The sequence below is a fragment of the Homo sapiens genome, chromosome 1, assembly GCF_000001405.40.
Source record: "Homo sapiens chromosome 1, GRCh38.p14 Primary Assembly".
Classification (NCBI taxonomy): domain Eukaryota; kingdom Metazoa; phylum Chordata; class Mammalia; order Primates; family Hominidae; genus Homo; species Homo sapiens.
Window position 1 is genome coordinate 225230571 of NC_000001.11, and position 22338 is coordinate 225252908.

General features: G+C 36.5%; 1 protein-coding gene across 26 annotated transcripts in view, besides 1 other annotated feature; it reads left to right on the forward strand.

The window, feature by feature from the left end:
• DNAH14 (dynein axonemal heavy chain 14) overlaps positions 1 to 22338 on the forward strand; it is a 469633-nt gene that overhangs the window by 300917 nt on the left and 146378 nt on the right. For 25 of the 26 annotated variants that reach the window (XM_011544062.3, XM_011544067.3, XM_017000296.2 and 22 more), the window contains 3 exons: positions 503 to 581; positions 10023 to 10252; positions 21731 to 21847. In XM_011544062.3, the coding sequence (XP_011542364.1) occupies positions 503 to 581; positions 10023 to 10252; positions 21731 to 21847 (426 nt within the window). The remainder of the gene's footprint in view (positions 1 to 502; positions 582 to 10022; positions 10253 to 21730; positions 21848 to 22338) is intronic. The other variant, XM_017000297.2, reaches the window with a different exon arrangement.
• Positions 20093 to 20142: a silencer, noted in NCBI's record as "silent region_1855". NCBI's record gives its function as "represses an Ori minimal core promoter by ATAC-STARR-seq in GM12878 lymphoblastoid cells {active_cell/tissue: GM12878}" and the evidence as "EXISTENCE:reporter gene assay evidence [ECO:0000049][PMID:35858748]".

A 22338-nucleotide genomic window follows, 5' to 3' on the forward strand; every position in this document is an offset into this window, starting at 1 on the left:
AGTTGGACAAAAAAGGTGGGTAATGGGAGTGAGAGGGGGATGACTACAATCTGCCTAACATGCCCCAGCTGAATGTTTGTTTTAATAAATTTGTTACTTGAAAGCATGCAGCTTCTTTTTTTATTGCCCCACTTTATGAGGGCCGATTTATTGTTTAGCTTGTAATGAGTACCATATTTGGTCGTAGTCACTTGAATGTTTCAAAGTTTACATTTTGGAACAATCAGTCTTATTTTAAAAAGGATAGAATAGAATAAAGAATGAATGTATGCAGCTTTATGCTTCAAATAAATAAAAATCAGTTCTGACAATGTAAGAACATTCTCTGCTCCTCTAATTCCCACTTTGTTTTGATAAGTTAATTCTCAGATACTGTATGTTAAATAAAGATATTCTATGATAATTCACTAACTAAACAATGTTAAAGGTTAAACCTCATTAGTTTACCAGATAAATTTTAGGTCTGTTGTTAATTATGGAAAAATACTCTTTCCTTTTTAAGGTGATGATTTGAATGACACGTCATCTAAGGAGGCAAATTCCCAAAGAGAGTCTGTCACATTCAAGGATATAGAAAAGAGGTCAGTTACATTCCTTCAGAAAACATGTTTTAATAACCATTAGGTGCCAGACCCTCAAATATGCACAGGATTACTTCTCAATAAATCAATACTTTTGTATTTTCATAGTATCAGAATCCACTTAAATTTATTTTATTCCAACTTAGAGTTCTTTGTATAGCTAATATAAGATCACCAGATTTATGCTGCATTTTGAAGTAATATGCATTATAGGAATACATTTGTCCAGCCTCTATACATACTTGAGAAAGGAATAAAATTGAAATGAATTTATTGCATGAATCTGCCATTTATGAACTGTGAGATGTTCAGTTAGTTGCTAAATGTTTTTAAGCTTTAATTTTTTTCATTTATAAAACTGGAATAATAATGTGATATGTTAGGTATCCAGAATAGAGCCTAGCACATAGTAAGAGCAATGTAAATTATTAGTTGTACATCTATTCAGCCATTTTGTAGGATAGAAGAGTCACTGTTGGGCATCTTATTATGAGTCCTTAAAACATTCATGTCACATTTGCTTTCGAATGATAAAACATTCACTTGTGGTTTCTACTCTGCCTGTCAGTTCTGCCTTAAAATCCACTCACTTATCTACGTCTTGATTATGGCATTCTAACCCAAACCTCCATCATTTCTTGCCTATACTGTTTGTAATAGCTTCCTAATTGGTTTCCCCAATTTTTTCCTGCTCATTCTCAATGTAACAACAAGAAATTAAATTTTTATTAAATAGTGAATAGCCAAAAAGAGCATTTATAAAATATGTATAAGATATAAATAACAATACCATAATCACTCATATATATACCAGTCAGCCATAGAAAAAGCATATTATTTTATTTTTGAAGTCCTCTGTATTCTCTCCTAGATCTCAGGGTATCCTATCATCTGAGATAACTACTATTCTGGATTTTGTACTTATTAATATGTTTCAAAATAATATTTTTTAGCTTTGTGTGTTTTTAACTTTAAATAAATGAAATCATCCTGTATGATCTTCTGCCACTTGCATCTTTTGTTCAACATTACATGTTTAGTTCATTGTGCATATAGCTATTCTTATTTCTTTTCACTGCTACCTACTAGTCCATTGTCATTATATATATAAACTGTGATATATATATATACACACACACACACACACACGTGTATCACAGGTTATTTATCGATTGGTAAACATTTAGATTTTCAATTTTGTTATTAACAATAGTAATATGATTAATGTGCTTGTACATGTCTCTTGGTACTTATATGCAATAGTCAATCTTTTTAAAACATAATTTAAAATATTTATTTTCTCTTTTGTAGTGATTTAAGACTTCCCATTACTCTCAAAGTGGAAGAAAAAAAATCTTGGTACAGCCTAAAAATGTCCTGCCTACCTTTCCAGATTCATCTCCTAATCTCTTGCTCTGATTGTGCTTCAGTGACACTTGCTTTTTCTTCAGTTTCTCAAACAAGCCATGATCCTTTGACCTTATGGTCTTGGCACACGTATTCCTTCTGCCCAAGATGTTCTTTCTCCTGTATTTTGCCAAATATCACCGATTCTTTGGTCTCAATTAAATGGTTACTTCTTCAAAGATACCTTCCCTGACTCCCACATCTAAACTAGTTATCCCTACTATTATTCTTCATGCAGTGCTTGATTCTTATTTTAAGTTCAGGGGTACATGCACAGGATGTGCAGGTTTGTTACATAGGTAAATGTGTGCCATGGTGGTTTGCTGCACAGATCATGCCATCACCTAGGTATTAAGCCCAGCATTCATTAGCTATTTTTCCTGATGCCCTTCCTCCCCTGACCACCACCCCAACAGTCCCCAGTGTGTGTTGTTCCCCTGCCCATGTGTCCATGTGTTCTCATCCTTCAGCTCCAACTTATAAGTGAGAACATGTAGTGTTTGGTTTTCTGTTCCTGCATTAGTTTGCTGAGGATAAGGGCTTCCAGCTCCAACCATGTCCCTGCAAAGGACATGATCTCATTCCTTTTTATGGCTGCATAGTATTCCATGGTGTATATGTACCACATTTTCTCTATCCAGTCTATCATTGATGGGCATTTAGGTTGATTCCATATCTTTGCTATTGTGAATTGTGCTGCAGTGAACATATGTGTGCGTGTACCTTTATAATAGAATGATTTATATTCTTCTGGGTATATACCCAGTAATGGGATTGCTGGGTCAAATGGTATTTCTGCCTCTAGGTCTTTGAGGAATCACTACACAGTCTTCCACAATGGTTGAACTAATTTACACTCCCACCAACAGTGTAAAAGCATTCCTTTTTCTTTGCAACCTTGACAGCATCTGTTGTTTTTTGACTTTTTAATAATCACCATTCTGACTGGCATGTGATGGTAGCTCGTTGTGGTTTTGATTTGCATGTCTCTAATGATCAGTGATGTTGAGCTTTCTTTCATGTTTGTTGGCCACTTTTAAGAAGTATCTGTTCATGTCTTTTGCCCATTTTTTAATGTTTTTTTTTCTCCTAAATCAGCCTAACTTCCTTGTAGACTCTGGATATTAGACCTTTGTCAGATGGATAGACTGCAAAAATTTTCTCCCATTCTGTAGGTTGTCTGTTCACTCTAATGATAGCTTATTTTGCTGTGCAGATGCTCTTTAGTTTGATTAGATCCCATTTGTCAATTTTTGCTTTAGTTGCAATTGCGTTTCAAATTTTTGTCATAAAATTTTTGCCCGTGCCTATATTCTGAATGGTATTTGCCTAGATTTTCTTCTAGGGTTTTTATAGTTTTTGGTTTTACATTTAAGTCTTTAATCTATCTTGAGTTAATTTTTGTATAACGTGTAAGGAAGGGGTCCAGTTTCAGTTTTCTGCATATGGCTAGCCAATTCTCCCAGCACCATTTATTAAATAGGGAATCCTTTCCCCATTGCTTGTTTTTGTCACATTTGTCAAAGATCAGATGGTTGTAGATGTACAATCTTATTTCTGAGTTCTCTATTCCATTCCATTGGTCTCTGTGTCTGTTTTTGTGCCAGTACCTTGTTGTTTTGGTTACTGTAGCCTTGTAGTATAGTTTGAAGTTGGGCAGTGTGATGCTACCCAGGCTGGAGTGCAGTGGCAGGATCTCGGCTCACTGCAAGCTCCACCTCCCAGGTTCACACCATTCTCCTGCCTCAGCCTCCCAAGTAGCTGGGATTACAGGCATCTGCCACCGCACCTGGCTAATTTTTTGTATTTTTAGTAGAGATGTGGTTTCACCATGTTAGCCAGGATGGTCTCCATCTCCTGACCTCATGATCCGCCCACCTCAGCCTCCCAAAGTGCTGGGATTACAGGCGTGAGCCACTGTGCCTGGCCAGCTTTGTTCTTTTTTCATAGGATTGGTTTGGCTATTCAGGCTCTTTTTTGGTTCCATATGAATTTTAAAGTATTTTTTTCTAGTTCTGTGAAGAATGTCGATGGTAGTTTAATAGGAATAGCATTGAATCTCTAAATTGCTTTGGGCAGTATGGTCCTTTTCACAATATTGATTCTTCTTATCCATGAGCATAGAATGTTGTTCCATTTGTTTGTGTCCTCTCTGATTTCCTTGAGCAGTGGTTTGTAGTTCTCCTTGAATAGGTCCTTCACTTCCCTTGTTAGCTGTATTCCTAGGTATTTTGTTCTTTTTGTAGCTATTGTGAACAGGAGTTTATTCATGATTTGGCTCTCTGCTTGCCTGTTGTTGGTGTATAAGAATGCTAGTGACTTTTGCACATTGATTTTGTATTCTCAGACTTTGCTGAAGTTACTTATCAACTTAAGAAGCTTTTGGGCTGAGATGATGGGGTTTTCTAGATATAGGATCATGTCATCTACAAAAAAGATAATTTGACTTCTTCTCTTCCTATATGAATACACTTTATTTCTTTCTCTTGCCTAATTGCCCTGGCCTGAACTTCCAATACTATGTTGAATAGGAGTGGTGAAAGACAGCATCCTTCTCTTGTGCCAGTTTTCAAGAAGAATCCCTCCAGCTTTTGCCCATTCAGTATGATATTGGCTGTGGGTTTGTTATATATGGTTCTTATTATTTTGAGGTTCCTTCAATACCTAGTTTATTGAGAGTTTTAAACATGAAAGGATGTTGAATTATATCAAAAGCCTTTTCTGCATCTATTGAGATAATCATGTGATTTTTGTCTTTAGTTCTGTTTATGCGATGAATTACATTTATTGATTTGCATATTTTGAACCAACCTTACATCCCAGGGATGAAGCCAGCTTGATTATGGTGGATAAGCTTTTTGATGTACTGCTGGATTTGGTTTGCCAGTATTTTTTTTTAAGGATTTTTGCCCTGATGTTCATTAGGGATGGCTTGAAGTTTTCTTTTTTGTTATATCTCTGCCAAGTTTTGGTATCAGAATAATGATGGCCTCAGGAAAGGAGTTAGGGAGGAGTCCCTCATTTTCAATTGTTTGTAATAGTTTCATTAGAAATGGTACCAGATCTTCTTTGTACCTCTAGTAGAATTCAGCTGTGAATCTGCCTGGTCCTGGGCTTTTTTGGTTGGTAGGCTATTTATTAATGCCTCGATTTCAGAACTCATTATTGGCCTATTCAAGGATTTGATTTCTTCCTTGTTCAGTCTTGGGAGGCTGTATGTGTCCAGGAATCTATCCATTTCTTCTAGATTTTCTAGTTTATGTTCATAGAGGTGTTTGTAGTATTCTCCAATGGTTGGTTGTATTTCTATGGAGTCATTGATGATATTCCCCTTATCATTTCTGATTGTGGCTATTTGATTCTTATGTTTTCTTTTTTATTAGTCTAAGCAGTCTATCTATTTTATTAATTTTTTTCAAAAAATCAGCTGCTGCATTCATTGATTTTTGAAGGATTTTTCATGTCTCTATCTCCTTCAGTTCAGCTCTGATCTTGGTTATTTCTTTTCTTCTAGCTTTGGGGTTTGTTTGCTCTTGATTCTCTAGTTCTTTTAGTTGTGATGGTAGTGTGTTGAGATCTTTCTAGCTTTTTGATGTGGGCATTTAGTGCTATAAACATCCCTCTTACCACCACTTTAGCTGCATCCCAGAGATTCTGGTACATTATCTGTTTGTTTGCATTAGTTTCAAAGACCTTCTTGATTTCTGCCTTAATTTCATTATTTACCCAAGAGTCATTGAGGAGCACGTTGTTCAATTTACAGGTAGTTGTGTGGTTTTGAGTGAATTTCTTAATCTTGAGCTCTAATTTGATTGTGCTGTCATCTGAGAGACTGTTATGATTTCAGTTCTCTCACATTGGCTGAGGAGTGTTTTACTTCTGATTATGTGATCAATTTTAGAGTAAGCACCATGTGGTAATGAGAAGAATGTATGTTGTGTTGTTTTTGGGTGAAGAGTTCTGTAGATATCTACCAGGTCCACTTAATCCAGAGCTGAGTTCACATCCTGAATATCTTTGTTAATTTTCTGTCTCAATGATCTGTCTAATATTGTCAGTGGGGGTGTTATCTGGGTGCTCCTGTATTGGGTGCACATATATTTAGGATAGTTAGCTCTTCTTGTCAAATTGAACCCTATACCTGTGAAGAATGTCAATGGTAGTTTAATAGGAATAGCATTGATCTATAAATTGCTTTGGGCAGCATGGTCATTTTCACAATATTGATTCTTCTTATCTATCAGCATAGAAGGTTTTTCCATTTGTTTGTGTCCACTCTGATTTCCTTGAGCAGTGGTTTGTAGTTCCCTTTGAAGAGGTCCTTCTTCACTTTCCTTTTGTGATTTCATAATCATATGTAATCATATACATAATCATATGTAATGCCCTTCTTTGTCTTTTTTTATCTTTGTTGGTTTAAAATCTGTTTTGTCAGAAACTAGGATTGCTACCCCACTTTTTTTGTTTGTTTGTTTTCCATTTGCTTGGTAAATTTTCTCCCATCCCTTTATTTTCAGCCTATGTGTGTCTTTGCACATGAGATGAGTTTCTTGAAGGCAGCATACCAATGGGTCTTGTGTGAATTTAATCCTGTCATCATAATGCTATCTGGTTATTTTGCAGACTTCTTTATGTGGTTGTTTCATAGTGTCACTGGCCTGTGTACTTCAGTGCATTTTTATGGAGGCTCATAAAGGATTTTTTTTTTCTAGATTTAGTGCTTCCTTCAGGAGTTCTTGCAAGGCAGGCCTGCTGGTGATGAATAACCTCAGCATTTGCTTGTCTGAAAAAGATATTATTTCTCCTTTGCCTATGAAGCTTAGTTTGACTGGATATGAAATTCTAGGTTGTAAACTCTAGGAATGTTGAATATTGGCCCCCAATGTCTTCTGGCTTATAGGGCTTTCTCTGAGAAGTCTACTGTTAGTCTGATGTGCTTCACTTTGTAGGTGACCTGGCCTTTCTCTCTGGCTGCCCTTAACATTTTTTCTTTCATTTCAACCTTGGAGAATCTGATGTTTATGTCTTGGGGTTGATTTTTTCGTGGAGCATCTTACTGGGTTTCTCTGCATTTCCTGAATTTGAAGGTTGGCCTGTCTTGCTAGGTTGGGGAACTTCTCCTGGATGATATCCTGAAGTATGTTTTCCAACTTGGTTCCATTCTCCCCATCTCTTTCAAGAACCCCAATCAGTCATAGGTTCGGTATCCTTACATAATCCCATAATTCTCAGTGGTTTTTGTTCATTTCATTTCATTCTTTTTCGCCTGTCTTATTCTTGTCTGCCTGTCTTATTTCAGAAAGATAGTCTTCAAGCTCTGAGATTCTCTCCTCCACTTGGTCTATTCTGCTATTGATACTTGTGATTGCATTGAGAAATTCTAGTATTGTGTTTTCTGGCTTTATCAGGTTGGTTATGTTCCTCTCTAAACTGGCTATTCTGGTTATCAGCTCCTGTATTTTTTTGTATGATTCTTAGCTTCTTTGCATTGGGTTACAACATGCTCCTTTAAGTCAGCAAAGTTCATTATTACCCACATTCTGAAGCTTACTTCTGTTAATTCAGCCATCTCATCCTCAGCCTAGTTTTGTGCCTTTGCTGGAGAGGTGTTTCAGTCAGTTGGAGAAGAGGCACTCTGGCTTTTGAGTTTTCAGCATTTTTGCATTGATTCTTTCTCATCTTTGTGGGCTTATCTATCTTAAATCTTTGATCTTGCTGACCTTCGAGTGGGGTTTTTGTGGGGTATTTTTGTTGATGTTATTCTTGTCGTTTTCTGTCTCTTTTTCTTTTAGAGTCAGACCACTTTTCCATAGGGCAGCTGCAGTTTATTGGAGGTCCACTTCAGACCCTACTTGCCTCAGTTTTTTCCTTACCTGGAGGTATTACCAGTGAAGGATTTGAAACAGCAAAGATGGTAGCCTACTCCTTCCTGTGGAAGCTCTGTCCCAAGGGGATACTGACCTGTTTCCGGCCTGAACGCTCCTATAGGAGGTGTCTGGAGACGCCTGTTGGGAGGTCTCACCCAGTCAAGAGGAACAGGATCAGGAACTCCCTTAAAGAAGCAGTCTGGCTGCTTCTTGGTAGAGCAGGTGTGCTGCATTGGGAGTGGCCCTTTCTTTCCCAGACCACCTGGACTCTCCATAGCTGGCAGGCTGGAACAGCTGAGTCAATCAAACCACAGAGACAGCAGCCAGCCCCACCTCCAGGAGCTCCATCCCAGGGAGAGATCAGAGTTCTGTCCAAATAACCCTGGGGGGAGGGGCTGAAACCTCTGCATGGAGGCCACACCCAGTGAAGACGAATGAATTGGGGGTCCCTCTTAAAGAAGCAGTCTGGCCACAATCTGGCAAAGCAGCTGTACTGTGTTGTGGGGAACCCCTCCTTGTCCTGACCACCTGGACTCTCCAGAGCCAGCAGGCTGGAACAACTGAGTCAACCAAGAGATGGAAGCTGCCCTGCCCCCTGGGAATTTGGTCCCATCTCACACAGCCTCCAGCCTATTGCCAGTGGCTGGCTGGAATTCCAAGTCAGTGGGTCTTAACTCGTGAGGTGCCTTGGAAGTGGGGCCCAGAGAACGATGCTGTTTGGCTCCCTGGATCCAGCCCTTTTCCTATCAGAAATTATGGATAGATCTCCTGTCTTTCTGAGATTCCTGGGGCCAGAGTACTTAAAACTCCTAGGTCTCTGTGTGTGCCTGAGTGGCTGCTCTGCCAAGATTCCCCACAGCTCTGTGTGTGGGACCCAAGCCCCTGGTGGCATGGGCTCACGGGGGATCTCCTGATCTGTGGGTTGCAAAGATCCATGGAAGAAGCAGTGAGGGAGTGTGCAACCCCACACTTGGCTGGGGTTCCCTTGGCTGGGGGTGGAAGGGGGTTCCTTTGGCTATGTGCCACTCGCAGGTGGACCATCACCCGACTCTGCTTTTCTTCATTCTCCATGGGTCGAGTTGTTTGCCTAGTCAGTCCCAGTGAGAGAAACTGGATATTTCAGTTGAAGGTGCTGACTTCTCTCGCTGCTTTCATTCCTCTTTGTGAGTGCCAAGGGTGGCCGCTGCTTCTAATCAGCCATCTTGGCCCCTTGACAGACTTTTTTCTTTACACTTATCATTGTTTAGCATTAATTTTCCTGTTCTGTAAAAAAGGGATCATATCTGTTTTGTTCAGAAAAATCAATACATAATAACCACTCAAATATTTGCTAAGTGAACTATTACATATAGCTAGAAATTTCAGATAGAATTGTACAAATGAACTGTACATTAATGATTGCTAATAAATTCCAGTTTAGTGACATATTTTAGGTTTTTCACAATTTATAAATAGTTTTATGGTAATACTAAATTCTGAACTATATGAAATGTCTTTAAATCAGGCTCAAATCTCATGTTCAGCCCCATCACCATCACCATAGAATTTCATGATCCTACCAACCATGGGTGATCTGGGTTAATCCAGAGTGGAGAAGACTCTCTCCAGATTCAGACTGCCTGGCTTTAGCCAGGTTAAACTAAATCAACCTCTACGACTTGGTTGAGACAAATACAGGGTGAATGACTATTCACTTATGTCTTTCCACATAAAATTAAGAATTATAATTTCCTTTTCCAAAATACAGATAAACTGTCAGCTAATGAACTGACCTAAAATAAAAATGAAACATTTTTATGTAAATTAAAATATATACATATATTAAGCATATATATGTATATTAAATAACATACTAAACATATATTAAAGTATATTATAAATAAAAGCATATATATGTTAAATAAAAACATATTAAAAGTATATTTGAAATAAAGTTTGACTACACAAGTTTTATACATATGGTACTTTAAAAAAATAGTAATTGTATCATTTACATGACAATTATCAAAGGAAAAAATTTACATAAACTCTGAAACTTTTATGTTAGTACCTAACTGCATTACAATTTTTAATAATGAAACTTTAACATTATATTAAAGTAAATTTCTATTCTTAAACTGCTTTCTAAAAATGTTAACCTTCATCCTTCCATACCTGTCTACCCCAGGGATGAAAATACATGGTATCCAGAGAAAAATCCTGATAAATTAACAAAAATTATTCAAAAGCTTTTTGTGTTTGCCTTTACTTGGGCATTTGGAGGAGCTTTAAACCGTGAAGATGAACACAGAGAAAATATACCATTTTGTCCCAGTCTTGAACCTGATTCTCTTGCAAAAGTAACATACGATTTTGACAAACTTGTTCATGAATTATTTGGAAACAGTTCACAAGTAGGTAAGTTCTGTGGGAAAAATCATAACTATACTTATTTTAAAATATTAATTTAAAGCAATGCTTGGCTTATAATGATTAGGTTCATCTTTTAAAATGTTAAGATTGAAGGAAAAAGAAGGTTTATAATATACCCAATACCCTCATTATAGTGAAAGAAGCTGAAGAAAATTACATTCCTGTTTGGTTTTAGGTGCTACGAAAACCTATAATGCCAGTAAGGCAGAAGATAAAGCCATAAAACTATCAATTCAGTTACTCTGAGCTCATCTGCTGTGTTTCTGGATCTGTATTATCCATATCGCCATGTAGCAAGAAGTTCTGTAGGATCATAATATTATAGTCTTATATTTCTTTTTTTTAAAAAAATCCAAATTATTTTATAAAGCCTTAGATTTCCTTAGTACTTGTGCTTTTTGAATCGGTTCTAACAAATGGAATCCATCCTATTACTTTGAAACAGTAAACATTTGCAATTAGCTGTTGTTGACTAAAAGAACTTTGAGTAGGTAAAGTGATTGTTGATGCAGGTACCAAAAAGAGACAAAATATTAAGCATAAATATATTTAGAAGAACTTTGTTAAATAAAGATGAATGCTAACAACATTATACCAAAAATACAAATCCTACTGATTTGTCTGATGTACTTGTTTGAGGTTACAGTCATACATTGCTGAACAACTGGGATGTGTTCTGAGAAATGTGCTGTTGGGGGATTTTTTTCATGGTGTGAATGTCAAAGAGTGAACTTACACAAATCTAGATAGTGTAGCCTACTACACACCTAGGCTATATGGCATAACCTATTGCTCTAAGGCTACAAATATGTACAGCATGTTACTCTACTGAATACTGTAGGCAATTGTAACAAACTAGTATTTGTGCATCTAAACATATCTAACCATAGAAAAGGTACAGTAAAAATTCAGTATAAAAGATTTAAAATATGGTACACCTGAATAGGGCACTTACCATGAATGGAACTTGCAGGACTGGAAGTTGTTCTGAGTTAGTGGAGAGTGACTGTGAAGGCCTCAGACATTACTGTACATTACTGTAGACTTTATAAATACTGTACACTTAGGCTACACTAAATTTATTTGTAAATTTTTCTTTCTTCAGGCTGTGTGCAGTAGCCCATGCCTGTAATCCCAGCACTTTGGGAGGCCAAGGCAGGAGGATTGCTTGAGCCAGGAGTTCAAGACTAGCTTGGGCAACATAGTGAGACCCATCCATCTCTAAAAACAAATGAGTGAATAAATAAAAAGCCAGGCATGGTTGTATGCTCCTGTAGTTTCAGCTACTTGGAAGGCTGAGGTGAGAGGATCGCTTGAGCCCAAGAGTTGGAGGCTGCAGTGAGCCATGATTGTGCTCCTGTACTCCAGCCTGGGAAACAGATTAAGACCCAGCCTCAAAAAAAAAATTTTTTTTCTTCAATAATAACCTTAGCTTACTATAATTTTTTTTACTTTATAAAATTTTAATTTTTTTCACTTTTGACTCCTTTGAAACAACACTTAGCTTAAAGCAAAAACACATTGTGTAAAAATATTTTCTTGATATCTTTATTCTGTTTTTATATTTTATTTTATTTCTTTACTTTTTGAACTTTTTTGTTAAAAACTAAGACACAAACACACACATTAGCCTAGGCCTACGTGGGGTCAAGTTCATCAATATCACTGTCTTCCACCTCCATATATTGTCCCACTGGAAGTTCTTCAGGGCAATAATACACACAGAGCTGTCATCTCCTAGGACAACAATGCCTTCTTCTGGAATACCACATGAAGGACCTGCCTGAAGCTGTTTTACAGTTAATTTTATATATAAATAGAAGGAGTGCACTCTAAAATAATGATAAAAAGTATATTGTAAATACATAAACCAGTAACGTAGTCATTTATCATCATTATCAAAGATTATGTACTGTAGATAATTGTATATGCAACTGGCACCCCAGTAGGTTTGTTTACACCAGCATCACCACAAAGATAATTAGTGCATTGTGCTATGACATTATGACAGCTACGATGTTACGATGACTATGATGTCACTAGGTGATAGGAATTTTTCAGCTCCATTATAATCTTATGGTAACATCATTATATATCCAGTCCATGATTGTTAAAACATCATTGTGTGGCACATTACTGTATTTGTTAAAAGTTCTATTTAAGACATCTGGATGGCAAAGATTCTATGTTATTTCCTGTGGAAATTAACCTTTAATCCAAAAGCATTGCGTGTTAATTTGTTGTTGAAATGAATGATTCAACTCCATCCTCTAACTCCTATAGATAAATAAATTGCCTTAATTTATTTGTTAGGCAGAAATACCTAGAACTGTGTTTGCTCTTCCTGTAAACTAAAAGGCAAGTTAATAAATTATTCATTATATTTGAATGCTTATCTTAAAACAATGAATATGAAATTTTGCTTTGTCATCTGAAATATCAGTATAAAACTAGGTTAGAATAGGAGGGTAAAAAGGGAAGGAAAGGCAAGTAGAAGCAATTATAGAACTATAAAACCACCAAAGTAGAAATGAGGAAAAAGAAAAAAAGGGGGAGAGCCAAAAAAAATTATAATTACATTGCAAGAAAAAATTGTAAAACACATAAAGAAAACCTAATCTGTTAAGGAAATATACCACCAAAATGGCCCATCATATGAATTCATCTCAGGGAAAATTATTATGACCTAACACAGATTTGAATGTAAGTGTTTAGGGTCCTAAAAAGATAAATGAATGGCATCCATTTTTAATAAATGATGAATTACGGAACAACATGTAGAAATTTTAAAAGAACATATAGCTATGAAAAAGAATGAAATAGACATCTGGAAATGAAAAATTTTGTTATTTACAAAGAGGAGCTGGTACTAAGACAAAGAAAGTCTTATCAGCTTAAGGAGTTTTTGGGCTGAGACGATGGGGTTTTCTAAATATACAATCATGTCATCTGCAAACAGGACAATTTGACATCTTCTCTTCCTATCTTCATACCCTTTATTTCTTTCTCCTGCCTGATTGCCCTGGCCAGAATTTCCAATATTATGTTAAATAGGAGTGGTGAAGAGGGCATTCTTGCATTGTGCCGGTTTTCAAAGGGAATGTTTCCAGCTTTTGCCCAGTCAGTATGATATTGGCTATGGGTTTGTCATAAATAGCTCTTATTATTTTGAGATGTGTTCAATCAATACCTAGTTTATTGAGTGTTTTTTAACATGAAAGAGTGTTGAATTTATCGAAGGCCTTTTCTGCATCTATTGAGATAATCATATGTTTTTTGTTACTGGTTCTGTTTATGTGATGGATTACGTTTATTGATTATTGATTTGTGTATGGTGAACCAGCCTTGCATCCCAGGGATGAAGCCAACTTGATTGTCATGGGTAAGATTTTTAATGTGCTGCTGGATTCATTTTGCCAGTATTTTATTGAGGATTTTTCATCGATGTTCATCAGGGATATTGGCCTGAAATTTTCTTTTTTTGTTGTGTCTCTGCCAGGTTTTGGCATCAGGATGATGCTGGCCTCATAAAATGAGCTAGCAAGGAGTCCCTCTTTTTCTAGTGTTTGGAATAGTTTCAGAAGGAATAGTACCAGCTCCTCTTTGTACCTCTGGTAGAATTTGGATGTGAATCCATCTGGTCCTGGGCTTTTTTTGGTTGGTAGGTTATTAATTATTGCCTCAATTTCAGAACTTGTTATTGGTCTATTCAGGGATTCATCTTCTTCCTGGTTTAGTCTTGGGAGGGTGTGTGTGTCTAGGAATTTATCCTTTTCTTCTAGATTTCTAGTTTATTTGCATAGAGGTTTTTATATTAATCTCTGATGGTAGTTTGTATTTCTGTGGGATCAGTGGTGATATCCCCTTCATCATTTTTTATTGTATCTATTTGATTCATCTATTGTCTTCTTTATTAGTCTGGCTAGTGGTCTATCTATTTTGTTAATCTTTTCAAAAAAACAGCTCTTGGATGGTTGATCTTATGAAGGGTTTTTCATGTCTCTATCTCCTTCAGTTCTGCTCTGATCTTAGTTATTTCTTGTCTTCTGCTAGCTTTTGAATTTGTTTGCTCTTGCTTCTCTAGTTCTTTTAATTGTGATGTTAGGGTGTCGATTTTAGATCTTTCCCGCTTTCTGATGTGGGCACTTAGTGCTATAAATTTCCCTCTTAACACTGCTTTAGCTCTGTCCCAGAGATTCTGGTACATGTGCCTTTGTTCTCATTGGTTTCAAAAAATTTATTTATTTCTGCCTTATTTGATTATTTACCCAGTAGTCATTCCAGAGCAGGTTGCTCAGTTTCCATGTAGTTTTGTGGTTTTGAGTGAGTTTCTTAATCCTGAGTTCTAATTTGATTGCAATGTGGTCTGAGAGACTGTTATGATTTCCTTTCTTTTGCATTTGCTGAGAGAGTGTTTTACTTCCACTTATGTGATCAATTTTAGAATAAGTGCTATGTGGTGCTGAGAAGAATGTATATTCTGTAGATTTGGGGTGGAGAGTTCTGTAGATGTCTATTAGGTTCATTTGGTCCAGAGCTGAGTTCAAGTCCTGAATATCCTTGTTAATTTTCTGTCTTGTTGATCTGTCTAATATTCACAGTGGGGTGTTACAGTTTCCCACCATTATTGTGTGGGAGTCTGAGTCTCTTCTGCAAAGTCTCAGGACACAAAATCAATGTGCAAAATCACAAGCATTCCTATACACCAATATAGGCAATATATTGACAATAATAGACAATAATATAATAGGACAAACAGCCAAATCATGAGTGAACTCACATTTACATTTGCTACAAAGAAAATAAAATACCTAGGAATACAACTTACAAGGTACGTGAAGGACCTCTTCAAGGAGAACTACAAACTGCTGCTCAAGGAAATAAGAGAGGACAAACAAATGGAAAAATATTTCATGCTCATGGATAGGAAGAATCAATATCGTGAAAATGGCCATACTGCTCCAAGTAATTTATAGATTCAATGCTATTCCCATCAAGCTACCATTTACTTTCTTCACAGAATTAGGAAAAACTACTTTAAATTTCATATGGAACCAAAAAAGAACCCATATAGCCAAGACAATCATAAGCAAAAAGAACAAAGCTAGAGGCATCACACTACCTGACTTCAAACTGTACTACAAGGCTACAGTAACCAAAACAGCATGATACTGGTACCAAAACAAATATATAGACTACTGAAACAGAACAGAGGCCTTAGAAATAACACCACACATCTACAACCATCTGATCTTCGACAAACCTGGCAAAAAAAAAAAAAAAAAAAGGATAAGGATTCCCTATTTAATAAATGGTGTTGGGAAAACTGGCTAGCCATATGCAGAAAACTGAAACTGGACCCCTTCCTTACACCTTATACAAAAATTAACTCAAGATGGATTAAAGATGTAAATGTAAGACCCAAAACCATAAAAACCCTAGAAGAAAACCGAGGCAATACCATTCAGGACATAGGCATAGGCAAAGACTTCATGACTGTGACACCAAAAGCAGTTGCAACAAAAGCCAAATTTGACAAATGGGATCTAATTAAACTAAAGAGCTTCTGCACAGCAAAAGAAACTATCATCAGAGTGAACAGGCAACCTACAGAACGGGAGAAAATTTTGCGATCTATCCATCTGATAAGGGGCTAACATCCAGAATCTACAAGGAACTTAAACAAATTTACCAGAAAAAAACAAACAACCCCATCAAAAAGTAGGTAAAAGATATGAACAGACACTTCTCAAAAGAAGACATTTATGTGGCCAACAAACATATGAAAAAAAGTTCTTCATCACTGGTCATTAGAGGAATACAAATCAAAACCACAATGAGATGCCATCTCACTCCAATTAGAATGGCAATCATTAAAAAGTCAGGAAACAACAGATGCTGGAGAGGATGTGGAGAAATAGGAACGCTTTTACACTGTTGGTGGGAGTGTAAATTAGCTCAATCGTTGTGGAAGACAATGTGGCAATTCCTCAAGGATCTAGAACCAGATACCATTTGACCCAGCAATCCCATTACTGGGTATATACCCAAAGGAATATAATCATTCTACTATAAAGAAACATGCACACGTATGTTTATTGCAACACTATTCACAATAGCAAAGACTTGGAATGAACCCAAATGCCCATTAATGATAGACTGGATAAGGAAAATGTGGCACATATACACCATGGAATACTATGCAGCCATAAAAAAGAATGAGTTCATGTGCTTTGCAGGGACATGGTTGAGGCTGGAAGCCATCATTCTCAGCAAACTAACACAGGAACAGAAAACCAAATACTGCATGTTCTCATTCATAAATGGGAGTTGAACAATGAGAACAAATGGACACAGAGAGGGGAACATCACACACTGGGGCCTGTTGCGGGGTGGGGGCAAGGGGAGGGAGAGCATTAGGACAAATACCTAATGCATGCGGGGCTGAAAACCCAGATGATGGTTTTGATGGAAGCAGCAAACCACCATGGCTCATGTATACTTATGTAACAAACCTGCACATTCTGCACATGTATTCCAGAACTTAAAGAATAATAAAAAAAATAAGTAAATAAAAAGAAATTCAATAGGATAAACTCCACTCTGGTCACCATCAAAGAAAGAATTAGTAAGTTGAAACCTAGAGAAGAAAAAGATATGGAAGAACAGTGATGAGCGAGAGGATCTGCCAAGAGATTTCAGAAGAATCTCTCATTCTGGAGGGGAATGTCAGAGAAGCAACATTTGACGATATAATATCAGAGAATTTGCCAGATTGACATAAATCCTGATATTAAACACATTTAAACAATTTATAGTGAAACTGCAAAATGTCAATAAAAAATATTTAAAGTTTTTATAGAGAAAAGACAATATCTACAAAGGAATAATAATTAGACAAATTTTTGACCAGGTGTGGTGGCTCACGCCTGTAATCCCAGCACTTTGGGAGGCCGAGGCAGGCGGATCACGAAGTCAGGAGACCTCCTGGCTAACACAGTGAAACCCCGTCTCTACTAAAAATACAAAAAACTAGCCAGGCACGGTGGCGGGCGCCTGTAGTCCCAGCTACTGGGGAGGCTGAGGCAGGAGAATGGCGTGAACCTGGGAGGTGGAGCTTACAGTGAGCCGAGATCGCGCCACTGCACTCCAGCCTGGGTGACAGAGCAAGACTCTGTCTCAAATAATAATAATAATAATTAGACAAATTTTTATTAGCAACAATAGAGATCAAAAGATAATGTAGTAATATCTTCAAATGGATGAAGGAACCTAAATTTTTATCCTCAGAAGCTATCATTTAAGATAACACCAAAATAAAGATCCATTCGGACATATGAAGACTGAAATCGTCAAACACCTGTAACTCATGTATAAAAGAAGTATTAAAGGATGTACTTCAGCAAGAAGACTAATATACACAGTGGGATGGTGACCAATATAAGAGTAATGATGAGCATAGAACTTGGTAATATAGATCAATAGACTGATAAAACTATTGATTATAAAGTAACTTTTTATTAAAAAGACAAAATCAAAATTATACACAAAATAAGATGGAAGAGGGGGGTGTTCAATAGGTAGTGGAAGTGTGCTAAGGTCTTTGTTGTGTTTGAGAATAGTGTAGAAATATCAGATAACTTTAGATTTGTTAGAAAAATGTATAAATCTAATAAATTAATTTGAAGCACACAGAAGTTTAGAATGAGGTAATTAATAATTACATGTAATGCAAATACAAACCAAAAGAAAACAGAGTATATACCCAGGTCAGTATATGTACATATATTTCTTAGCTCTGTCTGCTGAGAGAGCCTAGAAGAGTGACAACTAATAACAATGAGCTCCCTTAGCACTCAGATCTCGGGAAGGAAAGGCAGTTCAACTTGAGGAAGGATCTGCAATGACATAACAAATAGGAACCTAAAGTCATTTATTAGAGTTACTATAACTAGGGAAAAGGGGAACACCAGTTCTTTGAAGGATAGTTGAATACAGGATTTGAGCTAATAGTTACACCTGTAGAACCAAAAGAACATCATGGTCCCTCTATTAGAGTGGGGGCTTATAGAGGAAAGGTGATAAGGTCCTGGTACAACTCCATTGCAGTTTGTTCATGGACTCATCCAGTGCTCATTTCCCCAGCACCTGGGTGCATAATCAGAATGGATATACTTAGCACTGGCAAACACCTTCACCTTAATTTCCTGACCTGTAAAATAAGATTTATAATGGCATAAGAAGCCAAATGAAAGCCCCTCGTAGAGCCAATCCTCAGTCCACAGACCTCAAACCAATACTGCATCCTGGAAGAAATGGCAGATATCAATGACATCCTCAGGGCTTCAAAGATGCAGGTATGAGTTATCCATTATATTCCTACTTAATTCACTAACCTGATCTTTTGAAATAAAAAAGATGGATCAAGGTGGGTGATGGTGGACTATAATAATCTTAAACAAATAGTAATCCCAGTCACTTTGGCTACTCTTTTTACCAGTAGGGACAATCTCTAGCATTTGGTATGTGTTCTTGACCTGGTGAATACATTTTCAATCCCTATCAAGAAGGAAAATAAGAAGTATCCTCATTTATTTGGGATGGACAGTAATAAATCATGGCCTTGCCCCAGGGAGTAAATGAGATGAGCCCTATGATTGCCCCAGCCCTCTACCTGGAGGAGCTTTCCAGATGGTGGCCCAGGGAAGGGAACCTAAGAAGAACAAAATGGCCTTGCTGAACTGAGAAGACAGAGCTTGAATGAGGTATATTTTACACACCAAATTCACCCACTTCAAATATATGTATCAATGATTTTTTAGTAAGTTTACTGAGTGGTGCAACCATCACCATACATCAGTTTTAGAATATTTTCGTCTTTCCATTATGATCTCCGTTCCCATTTACAGTTAATCCTTATTCCCATCCCCAACCATCGGCAACAAATTTGCTTCTTAGTAAATTAAGCTTCAATAAGCATTTTAAGAAATCAACTACCATATATGGTCTGTTGGGTCTGGTTTATTTCATGTATCATAATGTTTTTGAGGCTCATCCATAATGTATCATTTATCAGTAGTTAATTTGCTGAATAGTATTCCATTCTATGAATATATCACATCTTGTCTATCCATTTACCAGTTGGTAGACATTTAGATTGTTTAAAGTTTGGGACTATTATGGATAATGCTTTTATGCATTATATGCAAGTCTTTCTGTGGACATATGTTTTCATTTCTCTTGGGTAGATGCCTAAGGCAAGAATTGCTGGGTCATATTGTGGTAGTTTTAGGTTTAACTTTTGAGCAACTGCCAAACTTTTTTCCAAAATGTCTACACTATTCTACATTCCTACCAACAATATATTAGGGTTCTTGTTCTCCAAATCCTCCCCAATATTTGGAGGCAATTTGTCATTGTCTTTCTCATTTATTATAGCCATTCCAGTGGGTATGAAATGTATCTCACTGTGGTTTTAATCTGCATTTCTCTAAAAACTAATGATGTATAATAAGGGACACTTAATTAAACCAGGGATTAGCATACTACAGCCTGCAAGGCAATTCCAGCTTGTAGCCTACTTCTGTACAGACTGTAAGCTAAGAATGATTTTTATATTTGTAAGGGATTTGTAAAGGAAAACAAAGAAGAATATACAACAGAGATCGTATGTGGCGTGCTGTTTTAACCATATTCCCTTGGGTGAGGTATGGTGAGGCCAGACTCAGATGAAGAAAAGGGAACTGGAAACGGTTTTACAGTTTTGTTATACTCACAGGTTCCTGAAGAGAAAGAACATGACACATTGGGCCACTCAGGATGGAAGCACTGGGGTCAGTCACAGGGCAGACGGAGAAAGGGGAACTGTGGGCAAGTACCTTTATTGTGGTTTCTGCAGGAAGGAATGGGCAAAGCAGTGTAAATGGGCTTGGGATTGGCTAGTTTGAATAATTTCAGCAAGTTCTGCTGAACAGGGCTGTCCCTGGCTATCTGGTACCTGGCTTTGGGGTGATTAGGGTAAGTATATCATTGCCAGGGAGTGTGAGAGCTCCATAAGGGAGATGCTTGGAAGTGTGGCCTTAATCCCATCTGACTGGCATCCTTAGAAGAAAAGGAAATTTGAACACACAAAAGACAACAGAAAATAAATTTCTGTTGTTCAAGCCACCCAGTCTATGGTATTTTGTTATGGCAGCCCAAGCTAACTAATAGAATAGTCTTTTCAGCAAATGGTACTGGACCAACTGAACATTTATATGTTTAAAAAAAGGAATTTGACAGACTAAGATTATACACTAAAATGGATGCTAGGCCTAAATATAAATTGTAAAACTATAAACTTTTTTTTTTTTTGAGATGGAGTCTTGCTCTTGTCACCCAGGCTATAGTGCAATAGCGTGATCTCAGCTCACTGCAGCCTCCGCCTCCCAGGTTCAAGTGATTTTCCTGCCTCAGCTTCCCAAATAGCTGGAATTACAGGCACCTGTCACCACGCTTGGCTAATTTTTGTATTTTTAGTAGAGACGGGGTTGCACCATGTTGGCCAGGCTGGTCTCAAACTCCTGACCTCAAGTGATCTGCCCACCTTGGCCTCCCAAAGTGCAGGGATTACAGGCATAAGCCACCACGCCTGGTCTAAATTATAAAATTCTTAAGAAGGACAAGAAAAAATCCTTTGTGTCCTTCAGTTAGACAAAGAGTTCTTATGTACAACACTAAAAGCATAATCCATAAGAGAAAAAAATTTAATTAAAACATTTGCTCTGAAGAACTTACCATTAAGAGAATAACAATAATAGTAAGACAAGCCACAGATTCAAAGAATATATATAAATTACGTATCAAACAAAGATATATCCAGAATAGATAAAGAACTCTTAAAACACAATAATAAGAAAACACAATTTTTCAAATGGTAAAAAAATTTGCACACACACTTTTCCAAAGATTTATTTACCATTCAAGTGGTAAATAAGAATATATGAAATACTAATACTGTTATTATCTTATAGTGAATCCATGGCTAAATTAGTTTACTTTTATTCTATATTTTCAGAATTTTGTGCTAAGAAAATGTATTACTTTTATAATAGAAAGATAAGTGTGATTTACAAATAACAAAGTTCTCTGATATATTGGTTTGACCACAATCAATATGTTACTGGCATTTAACTGCATCCAAACACATGGTAATAATCAAAACTTTGGGGTAAGATTTCAAGGAATATCAGATCATACTTCACCTTGCTTTCTGGATATAAAGAGGACAAGAAGTTAATAAAACTTCATTTTTACACATTGAAGATTGAGGGGAAAACAGGCCTATACACTTGGATATACCCTTGGTGAATACTTATTATTTCTTGTTCAACAATCAGATCTTTCAGAGAGAGTTTACATGGTTAGTGAAACATTCCATAACTGAACCCCTTTCTTAGTTGAATTTATTATTTTCGGTTGTAGGCATCAACCTACCAACTGGTGAATGTTCCATCTTTGGATATTTTGTGGATATAGAGCAATGTGAATTCATACCTTGGTCAGATTTAGTTCCTAATGATCAGACACTAATTCAAAGAGGTAAGAATAATTATAAGAATCATACTTGTAACGTTAGAATATTGGGTATACTCTATTCATAAAAGTAATTATATCTACTCTATTTATAAAAGTAATTATATCTGCAACTTTGAGGACTAATATGTTTGTGTAGAGACCAGTTTAGATCTATGTTTACAAAACATATCTTTAAAAACATAACCTTTGAATATTACTTTCTGAGAAATTTAGAGTATATTTTATTGAATTAAATGCACATTGTAAAACTGTAGCACATTGAAAGTCTTCCTAAGAGCACTATTTATTTCAATTAGCTGTAATTATTGGGACAAGAAAATGGAAAGGACTACTTGTAAAATGTGAAAAACATATATGTAAAAACTTACACTTAATTATAAATGAAAATGCTAATTAGAAAAGAATAATCATAGTTTCACAAATATACATATATGCTAAATTGTTTTTATTCCCAATCTTCTGCATCTACATATAGCAGAAAAAAGAAACTTGTT